Raw genomic sequence first — 24835 nt, 5'->3', positions numbered from 1 at the left:
TGTCCTCTTATAGGTGTTAGATATAAACCTACCTAACATGACTTGACTGGAGACCAGCTAAGGTGAGTTTAAGTACAGATGCTATTTCTGGTAGGTAAGTGTGTGAATGACTTTTAGAAAAAGTCCTCGTTGTTTGAAGGTTCTATAATTGCAAATTCATCTACTTGCTAAAATTTATTTGCAAGCCCCCAGTCAAACCTCACAGTGCTTTCTTGGTTCTTTGTGGATGGATATGCACATCTCAGGTCAAAGACGACAATGTTCTACTTTCTCCTTTCAGCTCTCACACTGTAAACAAGTGTCCTTTTTGGCAGTATATTTAGTGCTGTTTCTTGCATTTTTGTACTTTTTGTTGGTGATTTTGCTATTTAAAATGTCCTCCAAGCATAGAAATGCTGACTAGTGTTTCTAAGTGCAAGAAAGCTATGATGTGCCTTATGAAGAAAATACATGTGTTAGATAAGCTCCGTTCAGGCATGAGTTACAGCGATGTTGGCCATGAATTCAATGTTAATGAATCAGCAATATATATAAAAAAGAAGATGTTCTTAAACGTAAGCATACGTAAAACAAGGTTATGTAATGATCAATTGCCAAAAATATAACCAGGGGCTCTCATGAACCTAACTCTTTATTTCCCTAGGAGCAATGGTTCAAATTCACTATGACTTTATAGAACATAACAGCTGTGAATAGTGAGAATTAGCTGTATGTATTTTTAAAAGATCGATGGGTTAGTTTACCCATAGAACCCAACTCTTAAACACCTGGTCTCCCAACCTAATCCCAAAGCCCTGGCTACTCAGAGGATGGCTGTCTGTCTAAGTGGTAGCCTTTGAAGGCCTTTTCTGTGGATAGAACAGTGCTGTTACACCTGCCAGACCCTTGATGGATGAAGCCAAATCCAAGAATATTGCAAGCCATAGACAGCAGGGATGATGCCACCACTCAGGTCTAACTCTGCCTAGACAGCGTGAGGGACTGTAACTGTGCCCTTCCTTTCTGTCTAGAAAGTCTCCTCTTTTCCTTACCATGTCTAGGAAGGGTGGGAGTAGGTACTGGGGCTTGCTTGTGTTTATCACACACTGTGAAGATGTGTCTCTGGGCGAAGGGCCATGCTTCAGAAGGGAAAGGAGCCTGCTTGAGCTGTATTCCTGGAACTGGAAATCAGACTCACTCCTGAAAATCTGGGGGTAGACTGGTCATCAAGAGTTCTCAAGGAGTTGAAAACTCCAGGGATTTTGATTGACAGCCTCTAAGGTCCCGTCAATGCTAAAATTTTAAAGATCTCGTAGTCCTATTTCTTATATTATCATTTCCTTTGAGCACCCTGTTTTTGGGAGAAAACCTCCATGGGTTTTAATTCAATTGTGGGGATGTGGCATCACAATCCCTTGGAAGTATTTGGGATTGACACTTTTATTTAGGAGGAAAGGGGTCTGGGATGCTAAGTGTCCTACAAAGCCCTAGAGAGTTCTACATAAGGTAGAATTGTGGCACCCAAAACCCAAGTAGTGTGAATCAACTTCTCTTTTATTTGTACCCATTGAGTTCCCAGACATTCTTTCCACCTCCAATTTTACCCCTAGGGCCAACAACATAATTTATGGGCCCAGAACAAAATGAAAATGTGAGATACCTTGTTTGAAAAGCCAGATGTCTTTCCCTTTTTCTGTGGTCTCTTTCATGACTTGTCATAGTGTTTTCTATTTGCTATTTCATGTAACTCCCTTGGGCACAAGGATACTGGTTGGTGAGAGCAGACACTCATAGGCATTGGACCTTGCCCTACAATTTGGCTTATGGAATGTGAGCACCTGACCTTCCTCATGCCTATGCCTAGCCGCCCATTGAGAATAGAGGGTGGCAGTGTTTGCTGGGCAAGAACAAGGGAGCTGTCTGAAAGGGGAAAGGAGAGTCCAAGCCCCTGGTGCATGCCCAATTGTCCCACTTTACTTGCAAAACACAAATGCAAAAATGCAACTATTGGAAATTTCAAGACAGTGACCATAGAGCATCAACTGCCATGCCTGGGACTTCTTGTGAGTGCCATAAGCCCATGAATCCTACTCTGTCCACTCCTAGATCTAGGGTCAGACCTAGTCTAGATGCTGTGGCTCACCTTGCACTCCTTCTCCTCCACACTCCTTGGTCCTATTTGTCTCCTCTGCACGTTTTAGGAGGCACTTACACATTGCCATGTCTGTGATGAGTCGTTAAAATGTGGTATGTCCTCTAATAGAGCCTGGCTTCTTTTCTTTTATCTTCTTTAACATAGAACACAATTTCAAGTTACATAAAAAACATTCTGGATGGTGAAGAGCAGGCACAAGAGGCAAACTTTAATTGATCCTTAAAAATAACCACTGCTTCATGAGGCCAGCATCATCCTGATACCAAAACCTGGCAGAGACACAACAATAACAAAAAGTTTCAGGCCAATATCCCTGATGAACATCGATGTGAAAATCCTCAATAAAATACTGGCAAACCTAATCCAGCAGCACATCAAAAAGCTTATCCACCATGATCAAATCAGCTTCATCCCTGGGATGCAAGGCTGGTTCAACATATGCAAATCAATAAATGTAATCCATCACATAAACAGAACCAATGACAAAAACCACATGATTATCTCAATAGATGCAGAAAAGGCCTTCGATAAAATTCAACACCCATTCATGCTAAAAACTCTCAATAAACGAGGTATTGATGGAACGTATCTCAAAATAATAAGAGCTATTTATGACAAACCCACAGCCAATATCATACTGAATGGGCAAAAGCTGGAAGCCTTCCAGCACAAGACAAGAATGCCTTCTCTCACCACTCCTATTCAACACAGTATTGGAAGTTCTGGCCAGGGCAATCAGGCAACAGAAAGAAATAAAGGTATTCAAATAGGAAGAGAGGAAGTCAAATTGTCTCTGTTTGCAGATGACATGATTGTATATTTACAAAACCCCATTGTCTCAGCCCAAAATCTCCTTAAGCTGATAAACAACTTCAGCAAAGTCTCAGGATGCAAAATCAATGTGCAAAAATTACATGCATTCCTATATACCAATAATAGACAAACAGAGAGGAAAATCATGAGTGAACTCCTATTCACAATTGCTACAAAGAGAAGAAAATACCTAGGAATACAACTTACGAGGGATGTGAAGTACCTCTTCAAGGAGAGCTATAAACCACTGCTCAAGGAAATAAGAGAGGACACAAAGAAATGGAAAAACATTCCATGCTCATGGATAGGAAGAATCAATATTGTGAAAATGGCCATACTGCCCAAAGTAACTTAAAGATTCAATGATATTCCCATCAAGCTACCACTGACTTTCTTCACAGAATTAGAAAAACTACTTTCAATTTCATATAGAACCAAAAAAGAGCCCGTATAGCCAAGACAATCCTAAGCAAAAAGAACAAAGCTGGAGGCATTATGCTACCTGACTTCAAACTATACTACAAGGCTGCAGTAACAAAACAGCATGGTAACAGATATATAGACCAATGGAACAGAACAGAGGCCTCAGAAATAATGCCACACATCTACAACAATCTGATCTTTGACAAACCTGACAAAAACAAGCAATGGGGAAAGGATTCCCTATTTAATAAATGGTGTTGGGAAAACTGGATAGCCATATGCAGAAAACTGAAACTGGACGCCTTCCTTACATTTTATACAGAAATTAACTCAAGGTGAATTAAAGACTTAAATGTAAGACCTAACACCACAAAAACCCTAGAAGAAAACCTAGGCAATACCATTCAGGACATAGGCATGGGCAAAGACTTCATGACTAAAACACCAAAAGCAATGGTAACAAAAGCCAAAATTGACAAATGGGATCTAATTAAACTAAAGAGCTTCTGCACAGCAAAAGAAACTATCATCAGAGTGAACAGGCAACCTACAGAATGGGAGAAATTTTTGCAATCTATCCATCTGACAAAGGGCTAAAATCCAGAATATACAAGGAATTTAAACAAATTTACAAAAAAAAAAAAAAACAACTTTATCAAAAAGTGTGTGAAGGATATGAACAGACACTTCTCAAAAGAGACATTTATGCGGCCAACAAACATGAAAAAAAGCTCATCATCACTGGTTATTAGAGAAATGCAATACAAAACCACAATGAGATACCATCTCACGCCAGTTAGAATGGCAATCGTTAAAAAGAAAGGAAACAACAGATGCTGGAGAGGCTGTAGAGAAATAGGAACGCTTTTACACTGTTGGTGGGAGTGTAAATTAGTTCAGCCATTGTGGAAGACAGTGTGGTGATTCCTCAAGGATCTAGAACCAGAAATACCATTTGATGCAGCAATCCCATTACTGGGTATAGACCCAAATGATTATAAATCATTCTACTATAAAGACACATGCACATGTATGTTTATTACAGCACTATTCACAATAGCAAAGACTTGGAACCAACCCAATGCCCATCAATGATTGACTGGATAAAGAAAATGTAGCACATATACACCGTGGAATACTAGGCAGCCATAAAAAAGGGTGAGTTCATGTCCTTTGCAGGGACATGGATGAAGCTGGAAACCATCATTCTCAGCAAACTAACACAGGAACAGAAAACCAAACACTGCATGTTCTCACTCATAAGTGGGAGTTGAACAATGAGAACACAGGGACACACGAGGGGAATATCACACACCTGGGCCCGTCAGGGGGTTGGGGGCTAGGGGAGGGATAGCATTCGGAGAAATACCTAATGTAGATGACGGGTTGATGAGTGCAGCAAACCACCATGGCACGTGTATACCTATGTAACAAACCTGCATGTTCTGTACATGTATCCTAGAACTTAAAATATAATAATAAAAAAAAGAAACTGAAAAACAAATAAACAAACAAACAAACAAACAAAAAACCATTACCAAGCCTGGGCAACTTGGTAAGACCCTGTCTCTACAAAATAATAAAAATATTAGCCAGGCATGGTGGCTAGTTACTTGGGAGGCTGAGGAGTGTTTGAGCCCAGGAGTTAGAGGCTGCAGTGAGCTATGACTGGGCCACTGCACTCCAGCTTGGACAACGTAGTGGTACCCTGTCTTTTAAAAACAAACAAACAAAATACTGTTGCTATTTATTGAGCATTACAGAGGGCTTGGAACTGGGCAAAGGGTTTTTGTTAAAGCTGCTGCTCCAACTTTCTACCCACCAGTCCAACCCACCAGACTTCCCCAAAGACCAGCAACCACAGGGTTAATGCCTTGCATGGCAGGGAACTTTCCTCTCAAGCTTCAGCCTCTTTCTGATTGGTGGGCTCCTGTGCATGTGATCTCAGTTAACTCCTACCATCCCTTTAAGAGTTGTCTTTGTAATCCACATTTTTTTTTTTGATGAGAAAAGTAAGCTTTGGAGAACATACACAACTAGCAAGCACCTGAATGGTGGTCTGAGCCACCTCTCCAGTGGTTTCACCGTGCACGATCTCAATATCTATGACAACTTGCACATTGCTAGTCCTTGTTTGCAGACTTGCAGCAAAATTGATCCGCTGCTTAGTTTGAGGTTTAACACATGATCCATATTAGTTTCTATTATTTAAAAATTGGGCGATTTCACATAGAAATCTCTATTTCTGATTTCTGTGGCAGCAGATGAGGGGGCAGTAGCTGGTGCTCTCTTCGTGTGAGTCACATGAAGTTTACTTCCTTAGGTCTTCACCCAGCCCACAGCATTCATTTGCATCTCCCACCTGGCTCTGCCAGCATTGATTTACGGTCCTGCTCACTGCTGTGTCAACTCCTTACTTTGGGTAAGATGCTGTCATGTGCTGTTTCCTCAGATCCTCATGTTTCTATTGCTATTCTGCAACTGAGCAAGCTTGTCCAAGGTCACATGGCTAATGAGTGCACTCAGGTTGAATCCTAGTTCCCTGGCACAGCCTTCTTGAATTTTTACAACTGGTAAACAGCATGGACCCATTAATCCCCCAAAGCGCGCCCTGGCTAGGATATTCCCAATGCAAGAATCCTGTGGTGAAACACATGCGAATGTGAGCAGGAATGGGGTGAGGCAACATGTCTAAAGAAAATTATCCTTAAAGTATTGGCCAAGGTCAAGTGAACCCTTCCCATTCTGTTGTTTTTGTCTGGGAGCCCATAATGTAAATTTATGTCTTGTAGCACTAGGAAAAAAAATCTTACTTTTTCCCTCTGATCACTGTGTCTTTGCTTCCTGAGGTCAACATGTGTGTAGTGTGGGGCCTCTTTTATCGTGTGTTCTTCCCTGGAAGATTTTCTGGAATTCACTCAATGTTCTCATGACATTTCCACATCAAAGTCCAGGGATTTAGACCATCCAATGTGAACCACATTGGGCAGAGCACAGGCAGCCTGGATATGCTGCTTCCTCTAAATGGCTTTCCAGAACCCAGGACAGAGCGCAGCTGAGCTCAAATGACACGCAGAGCCTCAGAACAGCCATGACCCTCAGATGTCATGGGATACTTCTGAGGAGAGTTCCCCATCTGGCCTCCCCACATCCAGTACCTCCCCCACACATGGTCAGCTTCGTCTTCCTAAAAGTCTGCTTTCCACATGTCTGTCTCAATCAAAAACCTTTGATGGCATCCCATTTCCTTCAGAATAAGGTCAAAATTATTTCTCCTGTATTCTCTTATCCAACCCTTACCTAACTACTTTCCTTCCAGAACATTCTTCACTGACCAAACAGGGCTACTTGGCATTCACCAAAGACTCTGTGTGAGTCTTTCCTTTCCTGTTCCCAAATTTATGCAGGTCCTCCCATTCCTTCAGACCCTTTTCATCCTTCTGTCCCATGAAGTGTGAGACCTCTGAGCCTCATGTACCCTAGTTGGAGAACGGGTTTGGGTGAGGACAAAGTGCGCATAGCCAGCCTTCCACACAGCAGCCTTGGGGGAGAAGGTGGTGCCTCTTCCCTGAAATCCATGAATACTGCAGTGCACCTTGACTGAAGTTGTGGATTCCCACAACACATTCGCTTCCAATTTTCAAGGGTTAGAATAGATCAGGGCCTCTAGAGTCATTGTATGATGTATTTCTTTTTAAAAAATCTTTTAAGATTCATAAGTTCATTAATTTAAACACATTTTAAACAAGAGTTTCAGCCTCATTTTCCACCTCATATCTTGCCCTACATGCTTGCCGTATTGTCCAGATTTTTTTTTTTTTTAATCTTCCTCAGCCTCTCTTTCTTTCTGGGTGAAATGGAAATAATACCAACCTTGAGGGGTAATTGGAAGAATGACCAAATGAGTTAGTTGTCCCGCTCCCTGGTTAGGACCCAGGGCACAAGCCAGACACACAGTGCACACTAAGAAAATGCCCCTCTTTCCTTTCTTCTGATGACTTTTATAAACAATTAGAGACATCACAGATGGCAACCTTGCCCATGTCTCCACAGGCTCCCTGGACCGATTTGGTCTGATACACAAGCTCTATTTGAGGTATTTGTATTTTATGGGTGTGTCACATGGCTCCTCTCAAATTTTTGTTAGATTAGCTTTTGAAGAAAATCTGAAAATACGAGCTGAAAGAAAAATGCTCAGCCAATCCTCCCTTTTATGGGTATGTTGGCAATTTGTCTGTCCAAACTAAACAGTCTCTGTTATGGTCTTACCCAACGTGATCTTAAAGAATCTAAAACTTGTCCTGGAATGAACTTGAAGGCCAGTTTCTTTTAAAATATAATACTAATTTTTTTAAAAGGCAACACAAAATGTCACTGGCTTTTTAAAGTGGGGATTGCACCAGCAATTTCCAAGATTTGAGACCTTTTTATTGGGAGAGAAAACAATATTTTGCTCATTCCCCCGTCTCAGTACAAAGGATAACTAATTCTAATAACTACAGTCTGCAGACCAAATGGAAATCATCTCATTGACACAGATTATGCAGCTATTTGGAGCTAATATGATATTTTTATTAGATGTCATTCTTTTCTAAGCTAATATTCCAGAAATCAAAGCAGCCCTCTGGGTCATACATACCTGGATATATTAGGAGGAAAATATTGCTTGCAAATGGACACTAATCAGTTTTTAGGAGTAATCAAGGATGTAGAGATTTGATTTCAGCAAAGATGGCCAGATGAGCTGGCGTGTGTGAGATGATTTGGCAGGCAACAGTCAGCAAGGACTACGTGTCCAGGGAAGGAGGAAGGAGTTAGGCAGATGGTGGAGATGAACAGTGCTGAGAATGGCCACTCCTATCCAAAACCCAACAGCCCTTAGTGCAAGATGCTGCACTCTCTGATTCATGTCAGTTATGAGCAATCCTGATTCTGGCTGTTATGCCTTGTTTTGCCCATCCAGCACTCTGTGAAACAATCTGAACCTTGCTCAAGCCCTTCTGCAACCTGAGGTTTTAGCTGCCCCCTCTGATACATTTTCACTTTTCATTCATTTTATTCAGAGGCCATGGTGTTGGGACATTATCTTTCAGCACACAGCTTTTGTCATTTTACAGGTTTTGGAGGGAGCATGCAGCTCTGCAAGGATTAAATTCTTGTGTTGCATCCATGGTGGCAGAGTGAAAAGACCGTGGGCCTTGGGGTCATATAGACCCAGGCTTGAATCCTGGTTTTGCCACTTAATGACTTTGGACAAACTGCCAAACCTCTCAGAATCTCATTTTCTCATCTGAAAAATGTCCTTGTTCTAAAATGGGAAGCAGCTATTTTATAGAATTTTTGTGAGGATGAAGAGATGTATTTAAATGACATATTGGACACACAATGGGAAATTTAATCAATAGCAGTTAAAATGAAATAAATAGTGAGGTGTAAAGCTGCAGCTTGGGCATATTTGGTCAAGATTCTCTGATGAATCTGAACTCATCAAGATGAAATCTACTGGGTAGAGGCAAAATATTCTCATCATTCTCCAAAATTTAAATTGCAAACTTTCAAGTTACAGTAGATGCACTTTTGGTTCAAATACGCTTAGGCCTCCCATACTCTAAATTATACTGCCTTTGCTAACTCCTCAAGCTATCTCCCTTTCTCCTTCCAGATTCCTCTCTATGTTTGTTGAAGGACTAAGTGACAATTAGTGTAGACTCTCCCTAGCCCCTAACTCCTTCCTTTCACAGCCTGACTTCTATTTCTTCAACTTTCCTGAAAAGCCTCTGTAAAGTCTAGAAAGTTACAGACATCCTCACGTCATGCACACAGCATGCAGCCTCATCAGCTCTGCAGCTTTCCACACCATTGGCCACTGCTTCCCCTAAAACTGTGGTTCTCTACTTTGGCTGCATATTAGAATCACCTGAGGAGCTTTAAAAAATTATTCACACCTGGGTTCCACCCCCAGAGATTCTGATGTACTAGTCTCGGGCGCCGCTTGGGCTCTGGGACTTTTCCCTGGTTGATCATTAAGGTGCAGCCATGGTTGAGAAATGGCTAAAATTCCTACTCTCCTTTATTTATGTAATATTGCAATGCTCTGTTTCTCCTACTTGCCAAATGCTTCTTTTGAATCTTTTTCAGGATCTCAGTCAAACCTTGTTTAGGATGTTGTTTGAGTAGTAAAAGATGCAAATCTTATAATTAAGGCAACATACAGTTTTAGTTGTTACTATGGTGTTGTTAAAGAAAAGCTAAAATTTGTGTTTGATTAGGAAGCTTACTAATGTATGTTCATGCTAGATGGCTATGGAGGAGGAGAAAACAGAGGAAGGAAGGAAGGATGAAAAGGACGGAAGAAGACAGAAAAGAAAATCTTATATTTTATGATTTTAACAATACTTTGCATACCTAATGCTTTCTTTTCTGTTTCATATCCCTAAAAGAAACAGCAATTTTAACATTAGCTATGATTTTTAGAGCACTATATTATCTCACTTAATCCTCACAAAAACTCCAATGAGATGGATACTATTATCTTCATTTTTTATAGCAAGGAAATGGAGTTGAGAAGTTGCCCAAGGGCATGAGCCTGGAAACTGACGGCTTGGATTTTAATCCAAGTTGATAGGGACTTCAGAGTCAGCCTACATTTTGCTGTCTCTTTGGATTAGAATCCTAAGTAATTAACATCAAATCTTGGGAAATTACTTCAAAAATCTTACCCAAAGGAGATATTCAAATACCTGAAATCAGTCTCCTATTTCCCATTAGTTTTTCTTTCTCCGGGGCAGCTATCCTGAGGTCCTGCAACTGTTCTTCATGTGCTTTGATTTTAATAGGTTTCATCTGCTTGGACAACCACAGTCTCTCTGGTTCAGCTTGATAATGGCCCTATTAATATGTGGTGTCCCCAGTCCAATATAGCAATGGCAGTCTTAGTCATTAACCAACTAAGGAAAAGGGCTGGATCAAAACAAAATAGAGAATTTGTGGTGATGGTTAAATTTCTATGTTCAGCAGAAAGTGTTAGAAGAAAAGGACTAGATTTCCATTGAGAGGTAGTGGCCAGAGATGGAGAGAGGAATTCATCTGCAGATCTCAGAGGTCAGGCAATGGTGACAGAGGGGAAGAAAATGAGTAACTTTACAGGGAAAGAAAATGAGTAACTTTACAGGGAAAGAAAATGAGTAACTTTAGGAAAAAGTGAAGAAAAATTCAGAATTCTTTTTTCCTTCCTCCCTCCCTCCCTCCCTCCCTCCTTTCTTTCCTCCTTCCTTCCCTCCCTTCCCTCCTTTCCTTCCTTCTTCCCTTCCTTCCTTCTTTCCTCCCTCCCTCTCTCCTTCCCTCCCTCCCTCCCTTCTTTCCTCCTTCCTTCCCTCCCTTCCTTCCTTCTTCCCTTCCTTCCTTCCTGCCTCCCTCCTTCGCTCCCTCCCTCCCTTCTTTCCTCCTTCCCTCCCTCCCTTCTTTCCTGCTTGCCTGCCTGCCTCCCTTCCTCTCTCCCTCCCTCCCTTCCTCTCTCCCTTCCTTCTTCCCTTCCTCCCTTCTTTCCTTCCTTCCTCCCTCCCTTCCTCCCTTCCTTTTATCTAATATTTTTCTCCTATAAACCATCCAGCTGTAGCTTGATTCTGTCAGTATTCAGTGAGCTTTCTGATTAACTAAGAGTTACAGATTTCCTTTAGCAACACCCTAGCAACAGCTTCAACTATAAATTGCCTTCCTTATGAGACTCGTATTCTTTACTACACAAAACATCTTTCTAAATAGGATTTGAGTGAACTCTGAGCACAATACAGCAGTGGATTTTTAGTGAGAGATTAATGGATGCTGAAAATCAAACAGATATGAGGAAAAACATTGGTTCCAAGGCAAGACCCGGGTCAAGGAAAAGAAAAGGAATTCATTTTCTCTCCTTTGGTACTTCACCCAGAGCTCAAGAGAGAATACACGGGTCACTTTAAGTCTGCAAAGGCTCTGAGTCTGGCTGCCAGGAAGTGAAATTTCACACTCAATCATTATAACCAGATTGGTCCTTGTGGTTCACATATTTTGTTCCTCCTCCTCCTCATGTCATGGCTTTGCTTTTCTGTTTCCATTTAAACTGCTTTATTTTGCACATTTCTTTCATTTTGCCTCAAATCCTGTGTAGAAAGAGCCAACTGAAATTTATGCAGTTTCTACTATATCCCGGGCACTGTGCTAGGCCCTTCGGTTATCTGGGGTCCTATATACTGCAGAAAATACAGCGTAAATGCAAAGAAAAAAAGAATTTAGAGTGAGCGGGAGGTGAGTGTACAAAAAAGATGAAGAGAGAGGAAGGAGTGTGGATTCTCCATAGAAGGGGCCAAAGGGGAATGAAGATTTAAAGTTTCCAAGAAGAGCCTGGAGAATCATTGTCACCCCAGTTTGCCCCACTCTGGGGAAATGTGCAGAAATTTACATTTTACATTTCCTCCTCAAGTCCTGTGTGGCAAGAGGCTTAAGAAGACTGGCTCTGTTGGCAAGGAGATTACATATTCTTTTATGTATGTGTCACTTCTAACCGATGGTGGGCTTTGGGTCTCATGTGTAAAATAGGAATAAACCTAGCACCACCTTCTAGGGGTGTTGGGAGGATGGAAAGAAGGTTTACCTGCAACTGTGCTTTCTGTGTAGTGAGTGTGCTCTGCTGTCTAGTTTTACTGTAGAGCACTGTGCATGCCTGTTCATGTTGATTTAGGACTTAGGTGTTGAATGACAAAGACTCTTGAGGTTTCCCACACAGCAAGAAAATGGGAATTCCTTTTATGTCTCTAGATTATATTAGGTTGAACTATATGACATTGCCATTTCTATAGGTCAAAAACAGCAAGGATTTAAAAAATAGAAACATTTCACATAAAAATGTCCAGATGTATGAGTTTTCTTGAAAAATCTGAAGACCTGGCACCAGTGGGCCATATTGCCCCGTGAACACCATGCATTGCAGTGACTGCCCACTTTAGGTAAGGCATGCAACCTAAGTCTCTGGGGTCTCTGCCCTGCCTATTTACTGATGGGCATTTCCTGCTTGGTCCTGCAGATGGTTTAGATGACAGCCCCTGACTTAGTGTATTGCCTGGAGCTACACTAATGTCTTGCTGATAACATATCTCTGAGGAATGTTAGCAAAGGCATGAAGGCAGCAATGTAGAATTGTGTGAGCAAATGGCAAGTACAAATCATTCCAAACCGAACATCCCAGGCCTTGAATAATCAAAGCAAGCCAGGGAGAGGCAGTTTGGACTTTGCTTGTCACTCTGCTTTGACAGCATTGTGGAAATACTTTCATCTCCACTGAAATTGTCTCCTTTGACATGTTTACACCCACATGCAACTCCATTCACTAAGTACTTAGTGTGTTTTTATTCCTTTTGCTTGTACTTTTCTTTTTAATCCCCCACTGGATATCAATTTGTCCAGGGAGAGGAAATCCCCCATAGCAAAGAGGCAAAGAGAAAGATTAGCTGGCCCACCAAATACATCGGGCTCCTAAAGTAACTATCTTCTAGCTTGCAAATATATCTCATTTAATACTTCCAGTGAGTCCAGTGGAGCAGATATATATTATTACCATTATCAATGATGAGCAAACAGAGCTCAGAGAACTAGAGTAACTTAACCATGATCACACAACCGGGAAGGGCTAGGGCTGGAACTGGCACTTTTTAGTTAACTATGAACTAAAACAGGCCTTACTGCAAGTTTAAGAAATGATCTCAATGTTTTACTTGGTCTTTTTATGAGATGGGCTTACTAGCAAAGCTGATGCAAATTTAGCATTAAGGAAAATAGTGTCTTTAAATCAGAGAGGGTAATAGTTCCATGTACTCTGGGCTGTCAGGCAATATCCAGGGTAGAGTGGCCCTGGAAAATATCTGATTCTCCTTTAGATATCACTAAGTGAACTCTGTACACCTTCTTGCTAATTCCAGATAGGGTTCAGATTCTTTCTCAGTACAGGGCTTCAGGCAGCCACTATCCATCCCAGAACATACATATGGAGTTGGCACAAGTTGTGAAAATCATCTGAAATTTGGTGAGCAAGTCTGGATACCTGTTTCAAGAGGGCATGCATATCCTAGGTGAACCACAGGGCATCTGGGGAAAGTCCTCCCTATAAGCACAGGAAGACCCTGAGAGAAGGCCAGGAAGGCAGATGATGAGTCTTCAAGCATTTAAAATGCCAGAGGAAAGATAACTTTTTCTTGCTACTTCTAAAAGCAGAGCAAAGATGAGAATGCGAGACATTAAGAAGGGTGAGATTCTGGTGACCAGTGGTATATTAATGGAAGGAGCGGCCTTATGAAGTATGAGTGTTTTGCTGCTGCTGGCATTTAAGCTGAAGGTGAGATTGATAGCTTGGATAAATTCTAAAAGTCTATTTGGGCACCATTCCATCTCAGCCCCAAGGACAAACAGGAGGACAATGAACACATTTTTATTATATTTAAGAGCCTGGCACATAAATTGTCTTCAAGAAATGAGAGTCTTTCTTTACATCTCTAGATTATATTGGGATCATATAAAGTTGCCATTTTTTTTGTAGGTAATAAAGTGGTTGAAAGTTAGAAAGTTTATGTGGTTCAACATCATTCACATAAAGTCAAGAGAATGGACTCAGATTCCTTAGACCCCTGTTGCATAAGGAAGAAGGATGCCCAAGAAACAGTGAAGAGTTCACTGCGTGTTGGTATTGGGAATATGGAGGAGAGTGGTAGGAACAGAGATGGACAAGGAAGGCAGTCAAGAAGCAGATCCTTCAAAGGCCCCTGGGGCCATGTTGAAGAATATGGTCTTTATTATGAAGGAAAGGAGGGAATGCTAATAATGATCTGGGAAATTGATAGATACACCTGTGATGAAATGGGTTGGTAATTCTGATACATTCAAAGAATCCCTTAATAAGATTCCACTGTGGTCAAATTAGATTTTTAGAGTGGAATGGGATTGAAATGACTTCATAAAAAGTCTTTCTACATAAATTAATGGTGCAAGAAAGAAAATGGAAAAAATTACCAATTTAAGAGAGTAAGCTGTTTGGGGCATGTTAGCTGTTGGAAAGGCCACCAAGGAATGTTTTCATGACAGCTCTCAAAATACTGTCATAGTATATATGGTAGGATGTGTTTTGAGGCAACTACATTAGCCATGACTTTATATCATTGGTAGCACATGAAGGCCCTAAAACTGCCAATATTTAATACTAATCTATAATTCGTCTTAATTAATTAGAACCAATTAATAATTCATTAATTAGAACCAATTTTCTCTCCTCTACTTGGAGACAGAAGACAGACAAACATGTATTGAAGTTTGAGCTGTCTTCTAACCCTCTGACCCTAGGCAAAGTGCTTTATTTCTCACCCCACAACCTTGCAGATGAGCAGTGAGATGGGGTAATAAACCATTCTTTGGGTTCGTTACTATATCTAACAAAGCCATACTATGTTTATGGCAAAATAAATTTCATTAAGAAATTCTCTATTTAAAATACACTTTAGTTGGAAATAATGACTGAAGGATTAGTCAAAAGTAGAACTCCAGATTGCATTTAGCAACAGAAAATAGAAAAATCCTTTCTGAGAGTCCCTGTGACAGTGTGGAAAGGGTGCAGGTTTTAAAGGCAGGCATTATATAAGTTTAAACATCTGCTCCATCTCTTAGTATATATGGGACGTTAGGTGAGCTACTTACCTCTCCTCATCTAAACAATAGGGACAAAGAGACAGTATATATAAAGTCATGGCACACAGTAGGCACTTAACAAAAAGACACTATTAATCTGATTGTAATATATGCCTCCTCCGCTGGCAAACTGAGTAACTTTGAAGAAGCTGTTTTATCATCTGTTGGCCACCTATTTTGCTGATGATTATTGAACACCTGTTTGCTGAGTGACGGAACACCTTATTTAAATATTAATTTATGTGTTGTTTTTCACCTCTGCCTTATCATTTCACGAGTGTTGCCCAGCCTTCTGTATTTCCTTGCTTCAAGGATTTTGCAGAACAGGAAGAGTTTTATTGAAAACAACACTTGCTTTCTTTTCAGAAATTCCAAGCCCAAGAGTATATGCTGGGGAGAGGGGAATGAGACATCCTTGATGGGAGATTTTCTCACACCTGGAAAGACTGGGGGTCGGTGCATCTGTGAGAAGTAGAAATCGTCACCCTGCCTGGCTAGACCTCAGAAGGGAGGGCTGCCTGGTCCTGCTCAGACACCAGGTTCTTGGCCTTGACAGTGACTTCTAGTCCCCAAGCAGGGCTTGAAAGCAGAATACACGGATTCCAAAGGGAGAGGTCATTTACAAGACAAGACTGGGCATAATTGGTGTGAAGAAATGCCTCCCAGGATTTTTGCCTGACCTTAGTGTTAAAGGTGGTGGAGGTAGGAGCCTAAATAATGTAAGAAACTAAAGTTCCTGCTGGCATAGACTCTTGGAATCAGATTTATGTTGATTTCAAGAAAATAAAGAAATAGAACATTTCTTGCAGACTCGTGTTTATAAGATTCAGACTTGCTATAGTTGTAAGGCATTGGAAAATCTAAAGATAAATTTATCTCTGCTCTCTAAAAGCTTACCACCTATTTGGGAACTGCAGAAGATCATAAGACACCTAATGAATAACTACCATTCACAGCACTGTGAGATCCTCATATGTCACAAACTGCAGAAAAAGTTCTCAGTCATGAGAGGTAGACAGTTGAATTTTGCAAAAGGCAGATAGCCAGGAGGATGGAAAAAAGTTTCTCCCGAAGGAATATATAAAAATGCACCCTCCCCTAATCATTGTGTGCCAATACTATTATTATGTAATTGCTATAGCAGTAAATGCATAAAATTTTGTAGACCCTGATGTTCTTTTGGAAATATGCCTGCTTGATATGAAAGAGAAGTTTGGAACCTGCTGATCGAATAGGGAACTGTATAGTTTATGATTTCTATAAAAGTGCTTAGAGTGTTATCTTCATAGAGTGTGAGAAGTCAGAGAGACCTCAGAGGTCAACTAGCCCCTCCTACCCTTCCCATTTTACAGGGGTTAAACTGAGGTCCATGTAGAATCTGGATTTACTGAGGCCTGAGGGTTGTCATTTTGAAAGACTGTTGAGATAGTCAAAGTCTTGATGTTAATTGGGTCAAATGTGCACCTCCACTCCTTAACAGCTGTGTGAGCAACCACTGCTGCTGTCTCTTGCCTGGACATATCTAGATTCCTAATTGGAAGTTTAGTCTCTGCCACAGCTGTGCACTGGTTACTCATCCAATTCATTGTTTTCATCACGTTACTTTCTTGTTTACAAACCTAAATGATTACTTCATTTAAAGAAAATCTAAACTTTGTGGTTTGGCATTCAAGGCTTTCTGTGATCTGATTCCAATCAAGTACTCTAAGCTTATCTCCTTCTGCACCATATGCATGCACTTTGTCTGCAGGGAAGCCTTCCTGCTACTTTCCACGCTGTTCTCTCAGTCTCCTGTGTTTTTGCTCATATTCTCCTCTCTGCCTGGAAGGCCCTTCTCACCAATCCTTATCTATTCTTTAAGGCCAGATTGCATGTTACCTCCTCTGAGGAGTCTTCCCTGGGTAAGGGATACAGAGAATCACATGGACCTGAGTTTGAAACCTTACTCTGCCACTTAGGTCCTGAAAGACTGCAGGCAGGTTACTTAATTTCTCTGGGGCTTAGTTTTCTCATCTGCCAAATGGGTAAGTCTACACCCACCTTGTGACCTGGTTGTAAGATATAAGTGGGTTAATTCTATTGTAGTCGGCACAATTCTTTGTATCTGGTAAGTGTCCAAGAATGTGACTAATTACTGGTATTACTCCAGGGACCTGTGGTCTTGTCTTCTTTGAATTCCCACTCACTGTGAATTCTCTTATATTCTAAATTGCGATATCTAATTTTGCATTTTAGATATTGGAATGCACATTTTATTTCCCCATTCAATTGGTAGCTCATTGAAGTTAGGATGATATTTTCTTCTGGACTGTCCCTATTGCATTGTCCTTTACCACAGTAGGTCCTCAAACTTAGGCAAAGGCTGACTTTCCAAGTGTGAAAATACTGAAAAGAATTTGCTTTGCTGACACTTTTCCTCCTAAAAGTTGAACATAGTTAAAAAAAAAAAAAGTCAATTCTCTTAGAGATGAGAATCCCAATTGTTGGGCTTCAGTTTCATAGAAATACAGAAGAGAATTTGTGAAGTGACTGGTGGAGATTAGTACATTTCAATTAAATCTTGGGAAACATTGATTTAATGTTTAAAGGACACATGGCCTCAACTCATCAGGACAACTCAACCTCACCATTTTCCAGCATGCGTTGGTCTATGTGATACTTCAGAAAAAGTGGTTTCATGGTCAAATGAGTTTGGAAAACATTAGATTTTAATTAATAACCCGATCACGGGAGTCGGTGCACACATTAGCCAACTAAAACATGTGACACTTACTGAGGTAAAGAAATCAGCATTTAATAGCTAATAAGAATAGCTAACATTCTCTAAGCTCTCATTATATGTCAGGCATTTTGATAGTAGACCTTACACAGACTCTCTAATTTAATCCTCAGAATGCCCATAGAAGATAGATGTGATTACTATCTTCATTTAACAGATAAAGAAACTAACTGTTTGAATGGGCCGAAGTTCATACATCATTGAAGGAGCAGAGCTGGGATTTGAAGCCAGATGTTTGTGACCCCTAAGCCAGAGCGCTGATCTACCATGGTGCACAGTTTTCAACATTCCAAAACTTGCCTGACCAGGAAATACTTTTGGTTATCCTCCTATTATAATAATAACCCATGAAAGTGCTGTTCATTGCAAGACACTTTGGGGAATAGAGCCCCGCCAGGCCCAAGCTACTTGTCTTATGGGCTCATCCATGCTCTTTGCACCTCTGTGCCTTTGCCTGCCGGCCTCTGCCTGGGGACCCCTGGCCCTCTTGGCTCTTTCGTGATATTTTACTCATCTTTCAAGGTCTAGTTCAAGGACAGCTTTGTGGGACGCTTTCTTTGATTTCAGCAGGCTGATTTGCAAAGCCCCTCTGTGTTCCTGCCATCTTTCCTATGCTGTTTTTAATGTTTGGTCTGTCTTTGTCAAGGACACGTTCAAAGAGCGTTGATAAAGTATCTGGCACAGAGTGGACACTCGGTTAAGGTTTATTGAATTACCATGGTCTCTTTTTCTAGCCCATCAGCCATTGATCCCTAACCTTGGGGCATTTCAGGTCCAGGTTCACAAACTTGTGGCCCGAAACGTGGACTAAGCCTGGCTGACACCCAAAGCTAATACAGCATGGCTGCCACACTCCCGGCAGTTCATTGGTTAACACTCTTGTCCCTTGCAGACGCTGCCTTTCTCTCCCAGCCTCTCGGAGGCGAGGAGGTGCGATTAGGTCACTGTGGGCCTCTCTCATCAGCGCCCTTTATGGGACAACCCTGACCTGTCCTTTCCAGGGCTCTGTCCAGGTTTCATTACAAAGCCCCCCAGTGACTGCGCCTTAGATGAGTCAGCTGGCTTGGGCTTCATTAGCAACCCTAATAGCCTTTTTGTTTTTGTCCTCTTTGGGGCCCTCTGGGGCCCTGGGGTGGGGCCTGGCGGGCCTGACTTCCAGAGATGCCGCCAGCCTCCATTGGAGCCCGTGAGGAAGTTCGCGCTCCGGCTTCTCAGCAGTCACGTCATGCCACACTGTGCATTTCTCTGCCGCACCCGTCCCCAGGGTGCACTCAGGCGCCATGCAAACGCTGGCCATCCCAGCTCTAGAGCTGCCTGCGATGAGGTCATGGGTGGGGCCCCGGAGACCCCACTCCAAATAGGGTGGGGGCTTCCCCGACCAGCCTGGGGATGGTCCGAGAGGACCGGGAAGGAGACAGTAATATTGTGTGTCCGACCCACTGCTCCCTTTCTTAATGTTCTATAGGCTGGTGTAGACAGAAGTGGAGGGGAAAGGGAGAATAGAAGAAGATTTGGGAAAGAGAAGGATAAGGAATTGGCAGTCGCGGGTCACTCGCTGCATTAACTATGGGTGGAGAGAGGCAACTAATGGTGTCTCCTGATCACTCTGCAATGAGCAAAGTGTCCTTCTTAACCTTAATCCCTTTCTTATCGTTGAGACCATGAGGCAGAGGAAGCCACAACAGTCCACTTTATGTAACTAGAATTTGACACAGACAGAAAAAATATTCCAGAAACAGAGAAAGAACTGGTATAGCAAGAAGGCAGAGCCCTCTCAGCCCAAGAGCAGGGTCCCAGGCGGCCCTCAAATTGCTCACCCAGGCCTAATGGCTGAGAAATTCGCCTTGCTAATGTTTCTGTACCAGTGGGTTTTGCAGCCTGAGGTCACCTAAATGTCGCAAACCACTCAAGCTCTGTCAAATCCACAGGGTTTTATAATCTTTGCCTGTGAGCACGCTTGTGTGCGTGAAGGAATGAATGTGGAGCTGTGATAAAATCTCAGCCTGCTGGAAGAATGTGCAGATTTCTGTGACAATCTAGTTTTTTGCACCTGGAATTGTGCCTCAGACAGATGGGAACACTGATAACAGAGACATTCTCAGGGAAAAAGGGAACAACACATCTCATATTTATATGCCCCTCCACCTCAATGCACAAGATACTTCTCAAGTGACCAATGCACAGAAAAACAAGAAAATATCTTATCCTCGCTGCTCCCTACCTGTGTATGAGGCACAATCGAGAAGGCAAAGTCACCCTATTTAGATAACATTGTCAGCCGACTGTGACTTGAATTAATGAATGTTGAGTTGAACTGTTTCCTTCTCCCAGGATATATAATATCTGTAACATCCTCCCGTGTCAATTACAAGGGAAAAGACAAATGATTTATTTAACTTTTAAAAATATATTCTGCAAAACAAGTTAATAAGAAGCCATAGTAACTGCACTTAGGAGGATTTTTGGAAAGATATTAAAATCTTCCTTGGGAAACATTTCCAAGTTAATAGAAGAATCACAGCTCCGGAAGTTGAGTTGCATATAAGGGGATAAGAAAACATAGATAAGCTGACCTTGGGAATAAGTTAGCCTGTCACCACACTGACAAATGCTAAGTTCATCAGATTGGAGATTTTGAAGACTCCGCTTACATTTTCTGAAACAAATGGGATTTTTTATATAGTGAAAGATATTTACAGAGGTTCATGAATCAAGCAGAATAGAAAGTAGGAGAACGCTCTCCTGCGGAGGTTTTCTAACCTCTGATTTATCATTTGTTGACATATTTTTACAAGTTCCCCCATTTCTTTACAAGGAGCTTTCTTAAGTTCTCCCAGGAAATATTTTGATGAAGGCCGAATAGGAGGGAAAAAGAGAAAAACTGCAGTGAAAATGGTAGCTTACCTTGTCTGGACATTGCTGATATCAAACTTTCCCCCAAAACATGAGGCTTTCTTGCTTTGGTTGTCCCATGAATGTAGTTAACTATTAAAAATTTAAAGCAGAAATATGTGTTTATTATTCGAAGCTACTCCAAAACAATGCAAAAAATAACTTGATGAAAAATAAAGTGCTCGTCTGAGCATGAGAATGCGTTTGAAGCTTGGAGCTCATGCTGTTGTACGAAGTTTTGCAACTGTCTTTCTCAGTTTAAACAACCTCCCACTCCTTCTCCCAGGGACTTGCCAACTTCTATAATTTAAAGCAACTGCGATCCTTCCCATAATACTCACATTTCAAAGAGCTTAATATATACACTAGTTAAGAACAAGTAGGAGTGGGTAGTGTTCTTCTGCAAACCCCAGACTGAGGCAAATGAAAAGCAGGAGTCTCAGGTATCTAAACAGTTCTCTTTCTCTCTTTTATCCATTGCTCTTCTTACCATGTTACTTCTAGTTGCTTTGCCTTTTAAAGTGATGCCTAAAGACCAAATGATATCATTTCACTGGAAGCAAAAAGAGTACATAGGAAAGTTTATGCCCCAACTTATGGAAAAGTGATGCTAGTGAAATTATGTTTAAACGTCACTTTTGCTAACAGAATTATTTCCATGCAATTTGTGCCTAATTTATCTGAATGAAAAATCGGAATTATTATATGCAATTTTTTTCACAAAAGGGGAACTACCTAAAATGATGTTTGCATTGGTCTTATTTTAAACTTTATCTTACATACGAATCATAAACTAGAGAAGATGCTTACTTTGCAGTGTCTGTGGCTGAATAAATCTTCTGACATTTGATCTGTAACCAATGTTACAAATGTTATTATTTTTACTACTTTCCATCAACTGCCACTAAACCACACACACACACACACACACACACACACACACACACACAGAGGAGCATTTGTGAATTCAAATTATAGCCAACTTACAGTGTGATCAACTGAAAATGATGATTTGAAAAATATTTGATGGTATATCTCAAAACAGATCTTGCTTAGTACCTGATAGATAATAGGTGCTCAAAAAATACTGAATAAATAAAGTATTGCATATGTTCACACCAACCAACAGATTTGACAATTTTGGTTTGCGTATATGTTCCCATTAGAGATGGTTAATATGTCAAAGCTTGTATAGAAGTAAACATAGGACAATACATACCTTTGCCAGGCATACATTAATGAATAGTTATGATGTATTAAAGTTTCCTAAATGAATAGAAAACATCAGTTAAATAAACAGACCAATTGGTAGATAATAGAAATATTGACATGGGCATAATCTATTAAGTATGTTCACTGTGCAAAGTTATGCAAACAAGTTTCAGGAAACAAACCTCATTCATTATTTCAAAAACTATAGCTTCCTTTCTGCTATGTTTTCTGAGTCACCTGAAATAACTATTATGCAATGGGCAGAGGATAATACCTCTGATTTTAATTATGCAAAGAAAGAAAGGATTTAAAACTACAAGGAAATGTTCAAGTTTTAGGTTTTAATTGCTGTGAATGCAGAGAAAAGATGGAGTCTATTTTCACTCTAATTTCCACTGAGGAGAGATTTGCAGGCACCAGCACATGTAGTGTCATAGACCTGAACTCAGATCCTGGATTTACCACATTCCAGTTATGTGACCTTGGATGTATTACTTTCTTTGAGCTTTGGTTTCCTCAGTTGAGAAATATTAAATGCCAATAAGTAAAAGCAATCTATTCACATAATTGTATACAACAAATATGAATTAAGCACTTTGCTGCCCATCAGGTAGTTAACAAGACCTACTGAGGAGTCACTGAGATTTAGGGATGTTCATGATAGCAGCTAGCTTAGCTTTTCCTGACCCGTTTCAAAACTGATAATGGGCATGGGATGCTGCTCTGACACAAACCTAAACATAGTGGCATTGGCCTCATTGTGAGTGTCAAGGGAACTGATATCAAAGGCTGGAAAGATGAAGTTCCATGTTTCGCAGTAGCTAAACATTTGGTGAAACTGACACCTATGACAGTTTGTAAGGCAATATGTGCTAAGTAACTCTGTAGCTCTAAGGGAAAAGGATGGGGAGAGAATGTTAGTTATGTGTGTTGGGTACTTTTGAGTGCATTTGGCAAAGTGTTTCAAGAATGAGATGAGCTCAGGAAAGAAATAGCTAATTTATAAACAGAAATAAGAGGGAGTTGGGAAAGAGTACCTACATTTGATGGCTTGTAGTAGCCTCCAATTTTTTGAGGGATGTATATTGCTAAAAACAAAAAACCTGTAATCCTGTACTACAAATATCTCTCAAGGCTGGGAACAACTTCTCCCACTGGCAGGAGGCTGGCTGTAGGCCTGCATGGAGGGAAAGCTCCCCGAAACCCACCTCTGAGGTGGCCAAGGAGAATGGGCAAGGGGAGCCTCTCAGAAGGAAGAACTGGTGGCCACAGAGAAATACTCCTTTGGTGGACAAAGTAATATTCCCTGGAGAGCAGAACCACAGCCAAGAACCAACTCCACCTACAAGGTAGTGAGCCTTTACTATGTTGGCCTGGCCAGCCTGGGCATCAGTGGCTGCTCTGTTTCCCATTCTTCCCTTTTCCAAATTGGATTTTATATTATGGTTCTCTTATTGCTATTACATTGTGTGTTTGTGTGTGTGTGTGTGTGTGTGTGTATGAGATATGGTTTGGCTGTGTTCCCACCCAAATCTTATCTTGAATTGTAGTTCCCATAATTTCCACATGTTGTGGAAGGGACCAGGTGGGAGATAATTGAATCATGGGGGTTGTTCTCCCATGCTGTTCTCATGGTAGTGAATAAATCTCATGAGGTCTGATGGTTTTGTAAGGGGAAATCCCTTTTTCTTGATTCTCTTTTTATTTTCGTTTCTGTTTTTTTTCCTTCTTTTTTTTCTCTCTTTCACTTGATTCTCATTCTCTCTTGCCTGCTGCCATGTAAGACATGCCTTTTGCCTTCCACCATGATTGTGAGGCCTCCCCAGTCACGTGGAACCTTGGATCCATTAAACCTCTTTTTCCTTATAAATCACCCAGCCTTGGGTATGTCTTTATCAGCAGCATGAAAACAGACTAACACAGTGTGTACGTGTGTGTGTGTGTGTGTGTGTGTGTGTGTGTGAGAGAGAGAGAACTTGTACGTTTCATTCATAGATCACTTCCTTTCTAGTTCATAGGTCACTGGATCAAGAGACAGCCACACCCAGAGTTACGCAGCGAACTCCACATGCCCCAGAAGTCCAGATTACCTTGGAGGTGCTGAATGCAGTGAGCGGTGGGATTAGAGGTTGCTTACTCTCAGGGGTTGGAGTGGGGGCAGTGGCAGGGGCAGTAGGGATGTTCTGTTGTTTGGAAAGAGGAGAGGACATTGATTCTTGGTAACCAGGGAGTAAACTATGGCAGATACTTTTGGTGCTTACTGATGCTTGTGTATTCTTCTACATTTCCCAGCCTCCTTTGCAGTGTGGTTGACTGTATGATTGATTTTTGGTCAATGGGACGTGAGCAGAAGTCATGGGGTGGGTACTTCTGGGCTGAGGTAATCAAGAGCTGATGTGCCTACTCCACATTCTTTCTCCTTCTCTCCATGTGGCAGGAAGCAAATGACTCAGAGGAGGTGGAGCCCAGTAATAGAAGGAAGGCTGAACCCTGGGGGATCCCTCAGTGGTCTGCTGCCTAGGAGAGTTGCTTAGCCTGCATCGAATCTTCCTGAATAGTATACACACTTACATTGTGTCTCTCCATCGAGTTTTGGGATATATTTGTCATAGTTAGCTAGTGTCAGTTGCTCTAATACAAGCACTTTGAAAGCTTCTTGGACCATTAAGTAAAATATTATATTTAAAGAATGGAGAAAAGTTTCCAACCCAATAGTAAATGCTCAACAAATGAGAGCTGTTTTATAGAATACCATATTGAGGTATAATGGTATACAATATGCTATACGTATTTAATGTGTACAACTTGATGAGTTTGGAGATAAATATACATCAGTGAAACCACAATCAATGCCACCTATATATTCATCTCCCCCCAAAATT

General features: G+C 41.1%; 1 protein-coding gene and 1 long non-coding RNA gene across 4 annotated transcripts in view; one reads left to right on the top strand and one right to left on the bottom strand.

Moving 5' to 3' along the window:
• The window catches only part of C1QTNF7 (C1q and TNF related 7), a 106382-nt gene extending 85207 nt beyond the window's left edge, over window positions 1–21175 (bottom strand). For 2 of the 3 annotated variants that reach the window (XM_047449566.1, NM_001135170.2), the window contains exon 1: window positions 20754–20973. Coding sequence is in view for 2 of the 3 variants with exons in the window: in NM_001135170.2 (NP_001128642.1) it covers window positions 20754–20766 (13 nt within the window). In the remaining variant the exon portion in view is untranslated. Of the gene's footprint in view, window positions 1–20753; window positions 20974–21082 lie in introns of those variants that run through there. The other variant, XM_011513772.2, reaches the window with a different exon arrangement.
• C1QTNF7-AS1 (C1QTNF7 antisense RNA 1) overlaps window positions 1–24835 on the top strand; it is a 422973-nt gene that overhangs the window by 66954 nt on the left and 331184 nt on the right. The window lies entirely within an intron of this gene.

The sequence above is a fragment of the Homo sapiens genome, chromosome 4 (assembly GCF_000001405.40).
Source record: "Homo sapiens chromosome 4, GRCh38.p14 Primary Assembly".
NCBI lineage: Eukaryota > Metazoa > Chordata > Mammalia > Primates > Hominidae > Homo > Homo sapiens.
The sequence above is the reverse complement of the archived record's forward strand: the minus strand, read 5'-3'. Positions and strand labels throughout refer to the sequence as shown.